We start from the raw sequence: 16,000 nt of genomic DNA on the forward strand, positions 1-16,000 counted from the left end.
TTTATAAATAACAAAATGAATTATGTTAAAATCACTTTCTAATGAGAGATTTGTCCATTTTTTCTTGAGATTCTGCCTTTTTATTCTTTATATGATTAGAGGCTGTGTCTTAGGTACATAGAAACTCAGAATTTATTGTGTTCCTAAAAGAATTATTCCATTTATTATTATGTAATGATCCTTTTTATTATTAATAATGCTTTTATCTTAATATTTATTTTGTTTGGCATTAGTCTAGTTATCCCAGTTTTAAAAAATAATATTTGCCTGTTTTTTTTTCTTATCTGTTTACTTCGAATACATGTGAGTCATCGTGTTTTTGGATGTATTTCTCCCATCCAAGTACTAACCAGGCCCAACCCTGCTTAGCTTCCGAGATCAGACGAGATCGGGCGCGTTCAGGGTGGTATGGCCGTAGACTTTTGGATGTATTTCTTCCAATAGTATATAACTGGATTTATTCTTAACCAATCTGATATTTGTCTTTTAAATGATGAGTTTATTTCAGTTTTATTTATTCTGATTGCTAGTAATTTTAGATTTATTTCCATTATCTCAGTTTGTGCTTTATATACAGTTTGCTTTTTTATTCCTACTTTCTATTGTACTGATTAATTTTCATTAATCCCCTTTTTTTCTTCTGCTTATCTAGCAGTGGTCAACTTTAACAGTTTAAAGCATGGTTGATTTGACAACATCTAAAATTATTCAATATTTCTGCTTGCTTTCGGAATGGTACCAGGGCATTAGAAAACTTTCAGCTTTCCAACTCCCATCTTAAATGCTGTTATTCAACATTTTAGTGTTACCTTGTTTTTAGAAACACTAATGATTTACCCACATGTTTACCATTGGGTAAACAAGTAAACTTTCCTCTAACTTTGCTTTTCTGAATTATTTCCTTCATTCCTGAAATAGTTCCTTTAGTAAATCTCTTAGAGATAGTGTCTTAGTGGTAAATTCCCTCAGTCTTACTTTAAAATGTCTTTACAACTTTTTTTTTTGCTCTTAGTCTTGAATACAAATTTATCTGGATATAGAAATTTAGGTATATACAATTTTAGAATTAAAAATTTTATATATAATTTTATTTTCTTTCTATATGTACATCTTGCTGCTGAGAAGTCTAGTTGTCATTTCATGTGAGCAACTTCTCATTTCTGTCTGATAACTTTAAAGATTTTTTTCCCCCTATCTTTGGTGTCCTTTAGTTTCATTATGATTTGTCTAGTTAGGAATTTTTTTTTTGTTTATTCTGCTCAGGACTTCTTAAATCTGCTTCTTGAATCTGAATAATTCATTTGTTCGTCAGTTCAGAAATTTATCTGCCATTGTTTCTTTAAGTATTCCTTATCCACCCATTCCTTCCATTATTTTCTCTTAAGTATTAAATAAATTATGCATCACCCATATTTCTCAATGGTTTTTAAGATTTTATGTCTCTTTGCTTTTCTGTGTTACATTATAGTTAATTTTGAAAAATTAATTCAAAGTTCAGTAGATCACTCTTCAAGCATTTTAATCTCTTAAACCTATTCATTTAGTTTTTAATTTCAATGTCTTTTTAAAATTTTTCCTGTTCTATGTGGTTCTCTCTGAAATCTATAGATTCTTTTTATAGTGTCTTCCTTTATTATTTAAAATACTGATATCTAAAAGTGTTTCTTTGATAGTTCTATAATAGGGGTCTAATGTTGTTTTGGGAATTCTGTGGACTTTGTGTGCCTCTTGCATTTTCTTCCCTCTAATGTTCCCAGGGTATTATCTACTTATAACTGCTTTTTTCAGTTGAGTTCTTGGCTTGGGAGATCTGAGATTATTCAAGTAGCATAAATTTGAATTTGAAATCCATATGAGTGAAGGCCTATGATAAGAATTCTGAGGGGAAATTATTTTGTCTTACTCACTCCACCCAAGCCAAGAGTGGCAAGCATCCTTGTTCTCCTCTAGGACAGTGAGTAAACTTTTCCTTTCCTCTATTCTTTCAATGAAGGTGTTGCAATTTAAAGCTTCAGATTTATGCAGTTGTCTTAGTTCCAACTTTCTTCCTTGTATTCATTTAAAATTTTGTTTCCAACCTGCGTATCTATTAAAATTCAAGTCATTATGTTTCCCAGATTGGGGAATCAATCCCTGCAATGTAAGCTCCCAGATTCATCATTCTGGCTTTTTGTACCTCTTTGTTTCTATGCTCTTGGGGATACTTCTTATGGTTCTGCAATACATTCACAAGCAGCTATTTCACATATTATTGAATTTTTCTAGATGTTTTTATTAAGAGTTGTGTGGGTTATTTTGTCTATAATATTGGCACAAATGAAAGGGTTTTTTTTTTACTATTTATTTTCCCTTTGAGATATGATACAATGACATTTTTTAGCCAAAAAGTGCTTATCTTTTAATCAAGGTTCAATTCATTCATATTTCTTTCTTTTCTCTTCTTTTCTTTTTCTTCTTCTTCTTCTTCTTCTTCTTCTTCTTCTTCTTTTTTTTTTTTTTTTTTTTTTTTTTTTTTTTTTAGTGGAGTCTTGCTCTGTTGCCCAGGCTGGAATGCAGTGGCATGATCTCAGCTCACTACAACCTCCACCTCCCAGGCTCAAGTGATTCTCCTGCCTCAGTCTCTCAAGTTGCTGGGACTACAGACATGTGCCACCAGGCCTGGCTAATTTTTGTATTTTTAGTAGAGACGGGGTTTCACCATCTTGCTCAGGCTGGTCTTGAACTCCTGACTTCAGGTGATCCGCCCACCTCGGCCTCCCAAAGTGCTGGGGTTACAAGTGTGAGCCACGGCGCCTGACCCAATTCATTCATATTTCTTATTGGAAGTGATTTCTGTAATTTCTTATAAATTTTTATTGCTTAAATAGTAACTTTCTTTCTATTTGTGTTTTTTCAATTTTTTTCATTCTTTCTTTCTTTTGTTTTTTTTAATAGGGGTTGGGATTGGGCTCTGTATGGTGGCAGGTCCCTGGCTGTAGTCACCCTACAGCCTGGCTTTTAAAAACAATAAATAAATAAAATAATTTTTAAAATAGGAGTTATATTTTGTTTTTATTTTCTCTAGTATTTTCAAAGGTATATATATATTTACTCAGAGTATAATTTTAAAAGCCTTTAAGTATTTGAAGCCATTTTTAAACCAAGTTTAGCTATTTTAAATCAGTATTTCTAAGAGTCTCAATTCCTCCTAAGTAAACAAGGAATGTCAGATAGCTTTCCACTTCTTCTCCTTCTCCCCATATTCCTTTTCTCTTTGGTCCTAATTAATGTAATTTAAAGTATTGGATCTAGGCTTTAGTAATTAAAATTTTAACAATATGAATGTTCTTTATTGAGATTACTTTTTACATTTTATTTTAATTGAAAGGGACACAAAACTAACATACAAAAATCAGTTATATATATTCACACCAGTAACAACCTATCTGGAAAAGAAATCAAGAAAATCCCATTTACAATAGTAAAAAAATGAATAAAATACTTAGGAATAAGTTTAACTGACAAGGTGAAAAATCTGTACACTAAAAACTACAAAACATTCATGAGAGAATCTGAAAAAGATAAATAAATGCTAAGATATCTCATGTTCACGGGATGGAAGAATTAATATTGTTAAAATGTCCATACTGCCCAAAGTAATATATAGATTCAATACAATTCCTATCAAAATTCCAATGGCATTCATCACAGAAATAGAAAACACAATTCTAAAATTCATATAAAACCATGAAAGACCTCGAAGAGCCAAAGCAATCTTAAGAATGGAAAACAAAGTTGGAGGCATCACACCTCCTGATTTCAAGTGATATTACAAAGCTATAGTAATCAAAATAGTTTTGGACTGGTGTAAGAACAGACACATAGACCAATGGAACGAAACAGAAAGCCTGGAAATAAACCCAAGCATGTATGGTCAACTAGTTTTTGACAAGAACATTAAGAAGATACAAGGGAAAAAGGGAGTATTTTCAACAAATGGTATTGGGAAAACTGGATATCTACATGCAAACAAACTAATTTGGACCCTTTTCTTATACCACACACAGAAATCAACTCAAAATGGATTAAGGACCTAAACATAAGACCTGAAACTGTGAAACTCCTAAAGAAAACAGAGAAAAGGATCCTTGACATTAGCGTTGGCAGTGATTTTTTTGGACATCACACAAAAAGCTTTGGCAACAAAAGTAAAAATAAACAAGTGAGACTACATCAAACTAAAAAGTTTTTGCACAGCAAAAGAAACAATCAATAAAATAGAAAGGCAGCCTACAGACTAGGAGAACATATTCATGGACCATATATCTGATAAGGGGTTAATATCCAAAATATATAAGGAGCTCACACAATTCAATATTAAAAAAACCTTCAAAAAACAAAAAACAAATAACCCAACTAAAAATGGGCAAATAACCTGAACAGACATTTCTCCAAGGAAGACATAAACGTGGCCAGCAGGTATATGAAAAGGTATTCAACTAATCAATAGGGAAATTGAAATAAAAGCCATGAGGTATCACCTCGCACCTGTTAGAATGGCTATTAGCAAACAAAATAAGGGGCAAGTGTTCATGAGGGTGTGGAGACAAGGACACACTCTTGGTTGGAAGGTAAATTGGTGTAGTCATTATGGAAAACAGTATGAAGTTTGCTCAAAAAATTAAAAATAAAACTACCACATGAACCAGAAATCCCTCTTCTTGGTTTATACTAAAAGGAAATGTAATCAGAACCTTGTAGAGGTATCTGCACTCCCATGTTCACTGCAGCGTTATTCACAATGGCCAAGATATGGAAACAACCTGTGTCCATCAATGGATGAGTGGATAAAGAAATTGTGATACACACACACACACACACACACCACACTCACAGAAATATTATTCAGCCTTAAAAAAGAAGATCCTGCCATATATAACAACATGCTGAACCTGAAGGACATTGTGCTAAGTGAAATAAAGCAGACACAAAAAGAAAAATACTGCATCATCTCATTCTTTTTTTTTTTTTTTAGACAGAGTCTCGCTCTTGTCCCCCAGGCTGGAGTGCAGTGGTGTGATCTTGGCTCACTGCAACCTCCGCCTTCTGGCTTCAAGCGATTCTCCTGCCTCAGCCTCCGGAGTAGCTGGGATTACAGGTGCCTGCCACCAAGCCCGGCTAATTTTTGTATTTTTAGTACAGATGGGGTTTCACCATGTTGGCCAGGCTGGTCTTGAACTCCTGACTTCAGGTGATCCGCCTGCCTCGGCCTCCCAGATTGCTGGGATTACAGGTGTGAGCCACTGCACCCAGCCATGGAATCTATTTTTAAAAGTGAAATACATAGAAACAGAGAGTAGATCAGTGGTTAACAGGTGGCGGAGGGTGGGGTGGGGGGAGAAAAGGAGAGATATAGGTCAAATGGTACAAAGTTGCAGTTATGCAGGATGAATTTTAAAAAAACATTAAAAGCAGTCTGTAAATATTTAGACATCTATTTCAATTGATTTTATTGCTTGACACCAAATTTCATCTCTTTATCAATTGGAATATATTTTTAAGTAAATTTTTTTCTAAAGTGTTGCAAATTTTCTGAGACCCGAAAATGTTTGTTTCTTTCAACTTGCTGGATTTATATATATTTTGTGTTACAAATTTTCCCTCTTAAAAACTCTATTGCTAAAAAAAACCAAGCGAAACCAACAAACAAAACCAAGCAAAACCCAAACTCTATAGCTCTTGCTTCATTTTTTCCCTAGAATTTAGTGTTCTGAAATTAATGATATTTAGTCCACTGTAGGTATCCTGTTTTCCTATGTGGCCATGAATGTGTCTGTTTGTGTGTGTTCTTGAATAGATGTAAAATTTCTTTTAAAAAATCCATATGGTTCAAAAACATTTTCTAGATGTGACGATATATCGTCTTTACTCAGCTAAGAAAAATTTTATGCTTTCATAGCTTTGTCATTACTTTCATGGCATTTGTACTGGTCTCTTTTTAAAGAACTCTGAACTCTTCTCAGAACTCTTTTGGGGACCCTTTAAGGTCCCCAGCACCTTGCAAGCAACTAGCACAATTTTATATAAGTTGGTTCCCCATTTTCTATCTTCTGTTTGTTTTGTATTCTCTGTTTCCATTTTTCTTTTTTGTTCATGTTGTATGCATTTTTGGGAAGCTTCTCGAGTTTATCTTTCATATCATCCATTCAATGTTCAGCAGCAACAAATGTACTCTTGACTGACACACCAATGTGGGGTTGAATTCTGACACTGCATTTTTGCTTCCTTAAAACACTTCCTATCCCTTTCTCCTCCCCTCTTCTTTTATTCTGTTGTCTTTTCTGTTTAACCTGTTTCTCATAAGTTTGTTTCTCTATATTCGAATTTATGTCTTCATGTGTGCCAAGAAGTTTCCTGAAAATGTCTCTAGACTCTGCAGAACTTCATTTTCAAAAGGATGCTCCTCATCTGGGTCTTGAAGATGCTGCTCCTGGTTTTGCAGTGTTGTAATAGGTCCCTGAGGTGTCCTGACTTCTCTTCACTCCTCCTTGAGAAGGGAAAGACTCATTAATTCTCAGTGTATTTTGGTAGGCAGGATGAGTGGGTTGGCCTTCGATCCTCTAGCTGTCTACTTGCTTGATCGCTGAGTCGCCTTTATAAACCTACAGCAATGCTTAATTGCCAGTTGCCAACAGGCTTCATCTAGTGTATGTCTTCTTTACTGAGGTAGCATCTTTCTCCAACCACCATCCCAATTCTCTGGTGCTCTGACATGCTGTATCCCAGGAAAAACTCTAGTCAGCAGGCTGTACTGTCACAGTACAGTCATTAATGTGACTGCTCCAGCCTCTTGACTGTTTTTTACCTGAAGAATGCATTGTGTCTTCATCAGCCCATCCATCTATCCAGTTGTGTATTTCATTTTTAAGCTATTCTAGATGTGGAAGACACTAAGGAAGGGAAGAGGATGATCAGGAAAACTGTTCTTTGCTTGGCTTGAAACTGAACAATGGTGATGATAGATATTTACTCCATTCTCTGGTTAGTAGAGATCCTGAGTGTCTGAGTCAAGTATCGACAGAGAGGGAATTACAAAATGCCTTCCTAGCTATGTCTTTAAAGCAGCTTCTCTTTTAAAAAAGAGAACTTGGCATATGTCATACATACGCTTGACAGATTTTTCTCAATCCAGCTTGATGTACCTTATAAGTATTGTCAGTTTCTTCCACATCCTGGCAATTAGGTTGTCTATCAGTGTTTGTTCACCTTGTTTTATAATTCTTCATATTTGTCTGGATTTGCTGAGGTATTTTCCTGAGAAGCAAGGAGAGGCTTGTTGAAGGCCTCTAGCTAGAGACCATTTTGGATGAAAAGTCCCATAATACATTTAATTTTTTTACCATCTCCATTGGGAGACCATGAGATCCTTAAAGGGAGGGACTGGGTCCCAGCCATCACTGGGTCCCTAGCACTTCACAGACAACTGGCACAGAATTGCTGCTGAATAAATGTTGGAAGAAAGAACAAAATAGGGAAAGGAAGTTTTTTGTTATTTGCCTGTTACCCATATTAAAGTGTTTCAAATAAATCTTAAAGGTTCCACCTGCCTCTCAAAAAATAATTGATGAAAATATGTCCTGCAGCTTAAGAATCTAATTAAAGGTCACCTGGGTCATGGAGTGTGTAACTGAACCTTTTATTTATGCGGTAAAGCAGTATTTCAAAGGGAAAGGATAGGATGGGGCAACAAAATCTTCTCATGTACAAGATATGCAAGTGACATACACAGGATGGATGCTATTTGTGTACCTTTTCCACTAATAAGTAGTGAATGAAAAAAGGTTTTATATATATATACATATACACACACACACACACACACACACATATATATATACACACACACATATGATGTGGGTTATAAGTGAGGAGGAAAATTCTAATAGAATAGCTTTATATTGGGTAGAATTATCAAGGGAAATTGTGCAATTGCTTTCACTAGAAATGCTTTCCAAACATTTAGACACAAAACTGTTTAGAGGTAGGGAGTGAACTGGTTGACTGCCCCAAAGCCTTCTAGTCAGATGGGCCTCTGAGTCTTAGCAAAAGAGTTCAGTCACCCTTGGGTGCCTGAGAGCCCTCAGCTGCTGGCCTTAGCAGCAAGCATCTGTCACTTTGAAGGAGTGATTTAGTGATATCAAATAGCTGAGTGATTAATCAAGAAAATAAGTGAGGATTTGACATCAGACAGAAAAAAAATTGCCAAGGAGATGCTCTAGGGGAAAAGAGGCACCCAGGCTTGGAATCCCAAACCAATGGTGCCTTCAGGGATATTTACAAATCATAACCCATTGCTAGAGAAAGATCAATGTTCTGCAAAGCTAAATTAATATTTAACTTGCTCAAGAAAAGTCAATACCTTGAGTTATTAGGGAAATTAACAAGCAGCCCTAAACTGACACTATTCTTGCCTGAGCCATCAGCATGTTCTAGAAGTCATCAATGAGTTAATGTTCCCTACACCACCCAATCAAATCCTCTCCTTGAATTCCTCTTACTCTTCCCCTCCCTCCTTCTTTTCCTGCTGAAGAACAGTTCCTTCAAAAAAAAAAAAAAAACCTGATATAGATGCCCAGTAAAAAAGATAAAAAAGCTACTGGAGCAGAGGTGAGGTCTGAAGCCCCAGTTCCTTGGCCACTTTCATGAGCATCCCCTGAGGAGGCCTCAGGGCAGTTGTAAGCTCTTGGACCAAGAACAGCAGCTTCCAAGCCTCATCATGCAGCAGAGTCAATTGGGGAGGGGAGGATATGAAATCACATTCATGGGCTGTATTAGTCTGTTCTTACGCTGCTAATACAGATATACCTGGGACTGGGTAATTTATAAACGAAAGAGGTTTAATTGACTCACAGTTCCACATGGCTGGGGAGGCCTCACAATCATGACGGAAAGCAAAGGGGAAGCAAGACACATCTCACATGGCAGCAAGCAAGAGAGAGCGTGTGTGTGTGTGTGCAGGGGGGACCTCCCCTTTATCAAACCATCAGATCTCATGAGACTTATTCACTATCACAAGAATAGCATGGGAACCCCCCACTCCACCCCGTGATTCAATTACCTTCCACCAGGTCCCGCTTACGACACGTGGGAATTATGGAAGCTACAATTCAAGATGAGATTTGTGTGTGGACACAGCCAAACCATATCACGGGCCTACCTCATCCCTACTGACAGGCCTAGGGATCAGTATTTTTAGAGGGCCTAGTTGGTGATGTTGCTGTATTTATCCTGGCACAAGTTCAAAGTCCCTAGCTGGGTTCTACTTGAAATCCCTGTACTTGGTGGGCTCCAAGCGCACTCCCAGGTGTGACATTCTGCAGTTAGTTGGATAATGGTCATTTATACCTTCAGCCATGTCTGACAGAGCCATTCAGTACCCACAGAAATATAACATGAGGGTATCAGGAAGAGGGACAGAAGAAAAGGCTTCCTGGGAGAGGTGGGATTTGGGTAGGAATAGAGGTCAGGAAATTCAATTCAACTCATTTTAGTTGTGCAAGTAAACATCCAGTACAGTGTTTGTGGCGGAAGGTGCTCAGTAAACAGAAGGTCTTCCCAGCATGTCTAACTAGCCGCTGTCACTCTCTTGCTGCTTCCTGCTTTGTGATTCTTCAGAGCTCTCCTCAGCACCTGACATGCCACTGCCTATTTGCTTATTATTGCCGCCCTTCCAGGACATGGTAAGACCCCTCAGAGAAGGGCTGTCTACTGTGTTCCCACAGCTAGAACAGGGCCTGCCTGAATACGTGGGTGAGCACATGACTGGCCTGGGTGTGGTTGTGGAGATGGCAAGAGGATACCCTAGGCCCAGAGAAAGACCAGCAGGGCCTGGGCTGAGAAGGCAGGTTTCAGAGAGCTTACAAAGCAGTCTGAATGTCATGCTAGAGTGGTCAGTCTCTCTTCAGCAGACAGTGAGGAGCCACTAGGTTGCTATGCAGGGAAGAGACAAGATCAAGGTTGGCTTGAGAAGGATGAGTTTGGCAGCAGAGTTTGGAGGGATTAAGGGGAGGGAGGGAAGCTGGACTGTCATTCAGAGACTCTCCAGTTGTCCAGGGGAAGGTAGTATGGGTTTACACTGGGTCAGATGCACAGGCATAGGACAAGGGCATAAGGAGGAGGACATGGCAGAGCCGGGGCTTTGCCAGACATGCCTACCAAGTGACTGTGATATAGTGAAAGGGGGAGGGAAGAGTGTGAAACTCACCCATCCATCCATCCACCTGTCCATCCATGAGGGGATGGCTGGGGGTAAAAAAGCAAGTGAAGCTGCCAAGGAGTTGCCCATGTACCCCAGGAGGACGAACTCCAAGGATGGAGTTTGGGGGATACCTCTCTTGAAAGCTGAAGAGGTAACAGAGGGAACAGTAAGAAGTGGCAAGACGGGTAGGAGGAGAAGCAGGACCATGGAAACTGGGGCCAGAGCCCCAAAAGATCTACTGGACACCAATGTCAGCAGGTGCTGACGGTGCAGGAGGATGACAGCTAACTAGGAGCAGGTTGTTGCCCAGGGTGACATCAGGTGGCTCCAGGGACATCACGACACAGCTGGTGGTGTGGAGGCGTAGAGGGCAGCTAACATGGCATTAAGGTGGATGATGAGAAGGTGGAGGTTGATGACATCTTCCCTTCAGGCACAGAGGTGGGGTAGGAGGGAGGGGAGGGGAGGAGGAAGGCAGCCTGAGTCAGAGCCAGGGAAGGAAAGAATTGTCAGGATTGGGGGACTTGAGTCTGGCTGTGGTGGAGAGGAAGAAGTCCCAGCAAAGGAGAGACTAGACACGCAGAGGTGGGGGGTGTGGGGAACTGATTTAGAAAAGCCCAGAAAGGAGAGTCATCCCAAAGGGAAATATCGCATCTGCCCACTGTTAGCTCATTAACAGACCAGGGGAAAGGATTGGTGCCTCCAAGGTGAGAGGCGTAGGAGGAGGGGTGGGGAACCTAACGGGTCATCCCTGACCCTGTAGGACCAGACTATCATCAGGTATGTAGGGGGGGCGGGAGAGGAGGGAAGGACACATCTCCAGCATAACATATAACAGCCTCAAGGTGAGTTTCTGATTTAGAACCCTTGACCATCTCCAGAAACAGGAAGATAAAGTGTAGCTGTGAGAGCTGAGCCTGGGAGAATTGCTCCTATCTCCAAGGCTGCATCCCCAGTTGCTGCCTAAGTCCTTCCCACCCACACTGAAGGCCTGGCCCACAGCAACAGTGCACCTCGCCTTGCACCGGCCTGGGAGAGCCCTCTTGCAGGCTTTGCTGTTTTATAGCTGACTGTGTGACTCCTGGTCTCCCCACGCTGAGCTGTCCTCTGGGGTCAGGGCCCTCTGTGGAAGTTCACAATGCACTGGGAAGTGAACACCAAAGGCAACCAGAGGCTTCTGCAGAAAAAGAACTGCGAAACGTTGGACAGGAAGCAAATCCGGTTCCCTGTGGACCCTGGAGCAAGTGCCCACAGGTTATCTGAACAGTATTCATTCTTTCGACGGACATGTACTATGCCTCCCGCAGGCCAGGCACTGTTCTGTGAACTGTGGATTCTGTAGTGAACAAAATAGACAAGAATCCGAAAATGGTGACCCCATTTTAATGAGGGAGAGACCCCACGATAAACAAAATCGATTAGTAAATACCAACCCATGCTAGAGAGTGAAGAGCTCTGGAGGAGAGGCACGGGTGCGCCCCTGGAGTTGCTCTAAACAGGGTAGGCAGGGTGCTCTTGTCACAGAGAAGATGAACGAAGGCTCGTTTGATCATTTAAAGCGGATCCAGTCCTGGGTGGGATGTAAGGGCACGAGGCCTCCCCAGCTCCTTCGCTGGGCACCCTATGGGGGGACAGGGTGAGTTGGGCGGGCCGCTGCGGTTCTCCGAGAGCACCACGAGGGGGAGCCCGGACCCCTCCTAGCGCCTTCCGAGCCCTCCCGCACAGCCTTGCAAGCAAAAGTTTTTCTTAAACTAACAATGCCAGTGTAAGGAGGTGCTCGCGCCTGATTGGCCGGGGGAATTTTGCAGGTTTGATTCCTTGATTGGACAGGAGGTGTTAGGGGTGGGGAGAGAGCTGATGGTGGGGGATCCCGCTCCCTCCCGCGTCAGTCTGGCCGGCTCCGTCCTCCCGTAGGCTCCGCTGTAGCTAGCAATGTGACACCAGGACGCACTCGCTCTCGCGCGCTCTCCCAGGCTCGTTCTCCCTCGCCCTCTCTCTCTCACACACGCACGCACACACCCACCTCTCCCATAAACACACACACACACATGCACACCCACACCCACGCGCGCCCGCACCGCCCCACGCGCACACACTCCTGCCCACGCCCACGCAGCGCTCCGGGAAGTCCGGTCCGGGCGAGAGCGCGAAAGGATACCGAGAAGCCACCCGCGGAGAGCGCAGCGGCGCCCTGGGACGCGGCGCTCTCCCGGCGCTGCTGCCTCGGCTTGGTCTCGGCCTGCGGGCCGTCGGCCGGCGATGGCCCTGGATTATCTACTACTGCTCCTCCTGGCATCCGCAGTGGCTGCGATGGAAGGTAACGTACCCTCCACGGAGCAAGTTGGCTGCTGGTGCCGGCCGCCTTGGGACTGCTGTGCTCCGCGGTTCGCGGGGTTCCTCTGGCTGCTTTGCGGTGCAGGCATCCCGGGACCCGAGGGCAAGGAGGTTTGGGAGCCTCGGCCGCTGCCGAGCGCGGGGCTTGGGCGGCACCCACCAGAGCGCCCCCGGCTGGCTCTTAGCGCCCGAAACTGGCTCGCGAGTCCCCCGGCTTCCTCGCCCCGGCACTCCCTGGTAGCCTCGGTCTCCCGCAGCCCCCGCTCGGAGAGCTCGGAGCCCGCTGCATTGCGGTGCATGCTCCTTAGCTCTGGGGCAGAGCCAGAGCTGGGCGTTGGGGAGAAAGGGGTGCCTCTGGCCATCCGGCTCCTGGAGTACTGGCGCCCGTCTGCTCCCAGGCACGGATACGCTTCTGAGCAGCCGCGCGCCACCTCCTTTTCTCCAGCTCGCAGTCCACGGGCTAGTGGACTCTGCTTGGCGTGCAAGCACTGCGCGCGGGGGCCGGAGAAGCTCTGCCGTGGTATCCCGCAAGTGGCCGCCGAAGGAGAGGGGTGGAGTTCATTGGCCGTACCCTTGGGGACCAGTCTGGTGGTCCGGGCGCCTGCGGGACTGCAGGTTTCCAGGGTCAGTCGGGGAGAGGTGGAAACCCTTTTCGCCTCTTGAGCCTTGGAACAGGAGTGGGCTGGGGTGAGTGGTCGGTCCTACCTAAAGTCTCCCAGCCTCTCCACCACCCCGGAGAGGATACTCGGCGGCCGGGAGTCGTCGGGCAGCGTCACTCTCTGCCAGCTCAGACTTGGCGGTGCCTCCGGCTTGGTGGCTGGGAAAGCGCGCTCCAAAGACACCGTGCCCGGCGCAGCGGGGAGCCTGGGCGCTCGGTAGCGCTCGCGAATCCCTGTGGGAAATCCCGGCCCAGCTCCCCGCCTCCCGCCCCTTCCCCCGCCTCTGTTCTTCGCAGCCTAGCAGCGGCCGCGGCAGCCTCCTGGGAACACAGCTCCGCGGGAGAGCGGAGTTGGAGTTGTCGGGAGAAAACCAACTCTAGGGGTGATGCGCTGCCGCAGTCCGGCTAGCAGCCCCACTTTCCGGTGTCCTGCTCCGGATGGAACTCCTCTGGGGGACTCCAAGCCGGGGAGGAGCAGCTCTTGGCGACCGCGCAGCGTTCCCATCTGGGAGCTCGCTCCGCTTGTTACTCGTTCCTCGCGAAACTGTGACCGGTTGCCCAGTGGAAACTCCCCCAAACACGATGGTTTGGTGCCCCCCGCCATTCCGGAAAGCTCTGCCCTTCTGGAAGTGAAGCTGGAGGGGCATTCCGGGCCCTGAGGCGCGGCTAAGATTCCCTTCCCTTTTGGCGAAGACCACCGCATCCCACGTTTGTTCTGGTGGCGGCGTGGGGGTGCGGCGATTAATGCCTAGAAAGCTCTCGCTTGCTTTTCCGAAGGTGGCTTTTTGTCTGCCCTCAGTCTCCTGCTTCCCTCAGGGACTGCTGGGCTTTGTAGGGAGGGGAGCAAGGAGGGGTTTGCTTTTTGGAACGTGCAGGAGAAGACTGGAGCCGTGTGGAGTGCCGTCAACACCCTGGCGCAGGGATGCCTGGGTTTGACTTATTGAGAGACACGTGTGGGAGCAGTTGAAATTGGAAATTCAAGGGGATATATACCCCCAAACCGGGCAGGAAAGCCAGGGTGAGCGCATTTGCAAGGGCAATTCCAGACTGGACTTGCAGCATTGGGGTGGCGTCATGCAGGTCCGAGGCTCGGTCCGGCCCGCGGCTCTTTGCGCCCCCAGAGGTTCAGTGGCCGGGTCTCAGAGGAGATGGGTGCCCACTTTGGGGAGCGTGCTCTCGGCATTGGGTTCCTGTGCATGCAAGCGAAGTAGTTTGGAGAGCAAACGTATGGAAACACAGCAGGCATGAGGACGTGGTCAGTTTCCTCCCTGCCCCTCTTCTTGGCTAGCCAGAGGTCCCTGTCTGCTTGCCGGAAGCTGCCCGCGGGTGCCATTGTGTCAGAGCCCAGGCCTTCCGGAGCCACTTACCCCCGGTGCGGTGGCTTCCCTTGCTGCAGCCTGGAAACTTTGCCAGTGGCCTGACAGGAAGGAGCCTGACTCTGTGGGCTGAAAATCTCTCCAGCAAGGGTTAAAAGAAACGCGACATTCAGCAGAATATTAAAGCAGCCCCCTGGTCCCTACTCAGTACGCAGGGATATTACACACCATTCACTCCCTCCTCTCCTAGAATGAACACAGGCAGGCTCATTTTCTACTCTCTACACACGGAGCCGCCTTCCCGCCTGCCTAGCTGGGTTGGGGCCAGCGTTATTTGGTTCGTGATGAGTGAGTAATAGTGATCAGAAAGTGGATCAATGAGCTGCCTACGGAGAGCAGGTCCCTCCCAAACTCGGCTGTGGTCAGGGGGCGCCTCTCCCTGCTGATTTCAGACTCTCATGTGTCTGTCTGCTTTCCCCTGGGGTCTGCGGTGGAATTTCAGTGAGGCATTGCCATCCAGGGCAAATTGCTCTGAGGCCAGGCGGGCCCTCAGCCCAGGCCAGGGCAGGGACAAAGGGACAGTGACAATCATGGGCCAGGTAAGGAGATGTGGCCAGAGGAAGGCAGGGCCCTAAGACACCCCCTGCCTGGGTGGAAGGAGGGAGGACAGGGTCTGGTTGTTGGCCAGAGGGGCAGAGGAGGGGAGGGGAGGGGGCTCAAATTCTCATAATCAGGCAGGAGGACTGTTGGCTTAGGGTGTAGGAAACCCAGACTGAAAAAAAGCTCCTCTTCCCTCCTTTCCCCCCACACTCCCGCATTTCCAGCCAGTTCTGCTCTGTGAGGAGAGAGATGCCACTACAAGGAAAAGATCCGCTGGGGCTAAGTCTGTCTTCAGAAGGGAGTAAGGCAGGCTGTGGTGGCAAGAATGCTGACATCCTCCTGCCTTCTGGACACAAAGCCAGGCCTCTTTGCTCAGCGTCCTGACAAACAACTGCCTCTTCAAGCCCACCGGTGCCTTTTCCCACCTGCTCTGAGAGCTTGTTGAGAATGGGCTGCTGGTGTCTGTGAAGCGAAGGCAGCTGCTTGCATTCTCTGAGCTGCGTCTTGTCTTGTGCCCTTTGGGATAGGATCTGGAAAGCACATTGGCCCTCCTGGGAGGCAGCAACCTGAAATTGCTAACTGCTCATAGCATTCTCCCAACCCCACTCCCTGTGTCCAGGGAGTACCCATGCACCTGCAGAAGGCCTCAGAGTGCGGCACACTGGCTGATGGGAATACTCCCAGGAGACCTGCTCTTTTGTGTAGCCTATAGTGAAGTCCTGGCCCTGGCACCCTTGGATGTCCACATGTATTTGAGTAGTAGATTTCTCAAGGGTTGACAAGTAGTGGGTTCCCAGTAGGCATTGCTGATGCATGAGTGCACGACTAAATTACTGTGCCCCTTTGTGGCGTGCC

The 16,000-nt window shown here is 45.4% G+C and overlaps 1 protein-coding gene and 1 pseudogene across 1 annotated transcript in view, besides 5 other annotated features; one reads left to right on the plus strand and one right to left on the minus strand.

Moving 5' to 3' along the window:
* Positions 301-420, minus strand: RNA5SP141 (RNA, 5S ribosomal pseudogene 141; annotated as a pseudogene).
* Positions 8,738-8,807: an enhancer, noted in NCBI's record as "active region_20566". NCBI's record gives its function as "activates an Ori minimal core promoter by ATAC-STARR-seq in GM12878 lymphoblastoid cells {active_cell/tissue: GM12878}" and the evidence as "EXISTENCE:reporter gene assay evidence [ECO:0000049][PMID:35858748]".
* Positions 11,641-11,850: an enhancer, noted in NCBI's record as "active region_20567". NCBI's record gives its function as "activates an Ori minimal core promoter by ATAC-STARR-seq in GM12878 lymphoblastoid cells {active_cell/tissue: GM12878}" and the evidence as "EXISTENCE:reporter gene assay evidence [ECO:0000049][PMID:35858748]".
* Positions 11,912-12,206: an enhancer, noted in NCBI's record as "tiled region #6102; K562 Activating non-DNase unmatched - State 8:EnhW". NCBI's record gives its function as "activates a minimal TATA promoter and a strong SV40 promoter by Sharpr-MPRA in K562 cells {active_cell/tissue: K562}" and the evidence as "EXISTENCE:reporter gene assay evidence [ECO:0000049][PMID:27701403]".
* Positions 12,125-16,000, plus strand: part of EPHB1 (EPH receptor B1) — a 465,208-nt gene continuing 461,332 nt past the window's right edge. Inside the window, exon 1 of the mRNA NM_004441.5 lies at positions 12,125-12,554. Coding sequence (NP_004432.1) covers positions 12,497-12,554 — 58 coding nt within the window. The 5' untranslated portion in view covers positions 12,125-12,496. The remainder of the gene's footprint in view (positions 12,555-16,000) is intronic.
* Positions 12,251-12,300: an enhancer, noted in NCBI's record as "active region_20568". NCBI's record gives its function as "activates an Ori minimal core promoter by ATAC-STARR-seq in GM12878 lymphoblastoid cells {active_cell/tissue: GM12878}" and the evidence as "EXISTENCE:reporter gene assay evidence [ECO:0000049][PMID:35858748]".
* Positions 12,311-12,500: an enhancer, noted in NCBI's record as "active region_20569". NCBI's record gives its function as "activates an Ori minimal core promoter by ATAC-STARR-seq in GM12878 lymphoblastoid cells {active_cell/tissue: GM12878}" and the evidence as "EXISTENCE:reporter gene assay evidence [ECO:0000049][PMID:35858748]".

This window comes from Homo sapiens, chromosome 3, assembly GCF_000001405.40.
Source record: "Homo sapiens chromosome 3, GRCh38.p14 Primary Assembly".
Classification (NCBI taxonomy): domain Eukaryota; kingdom Metazoa; phylum Chordata; class Mammalia; order Primates; family Hominidae; genus Homo; species Homo sapiens.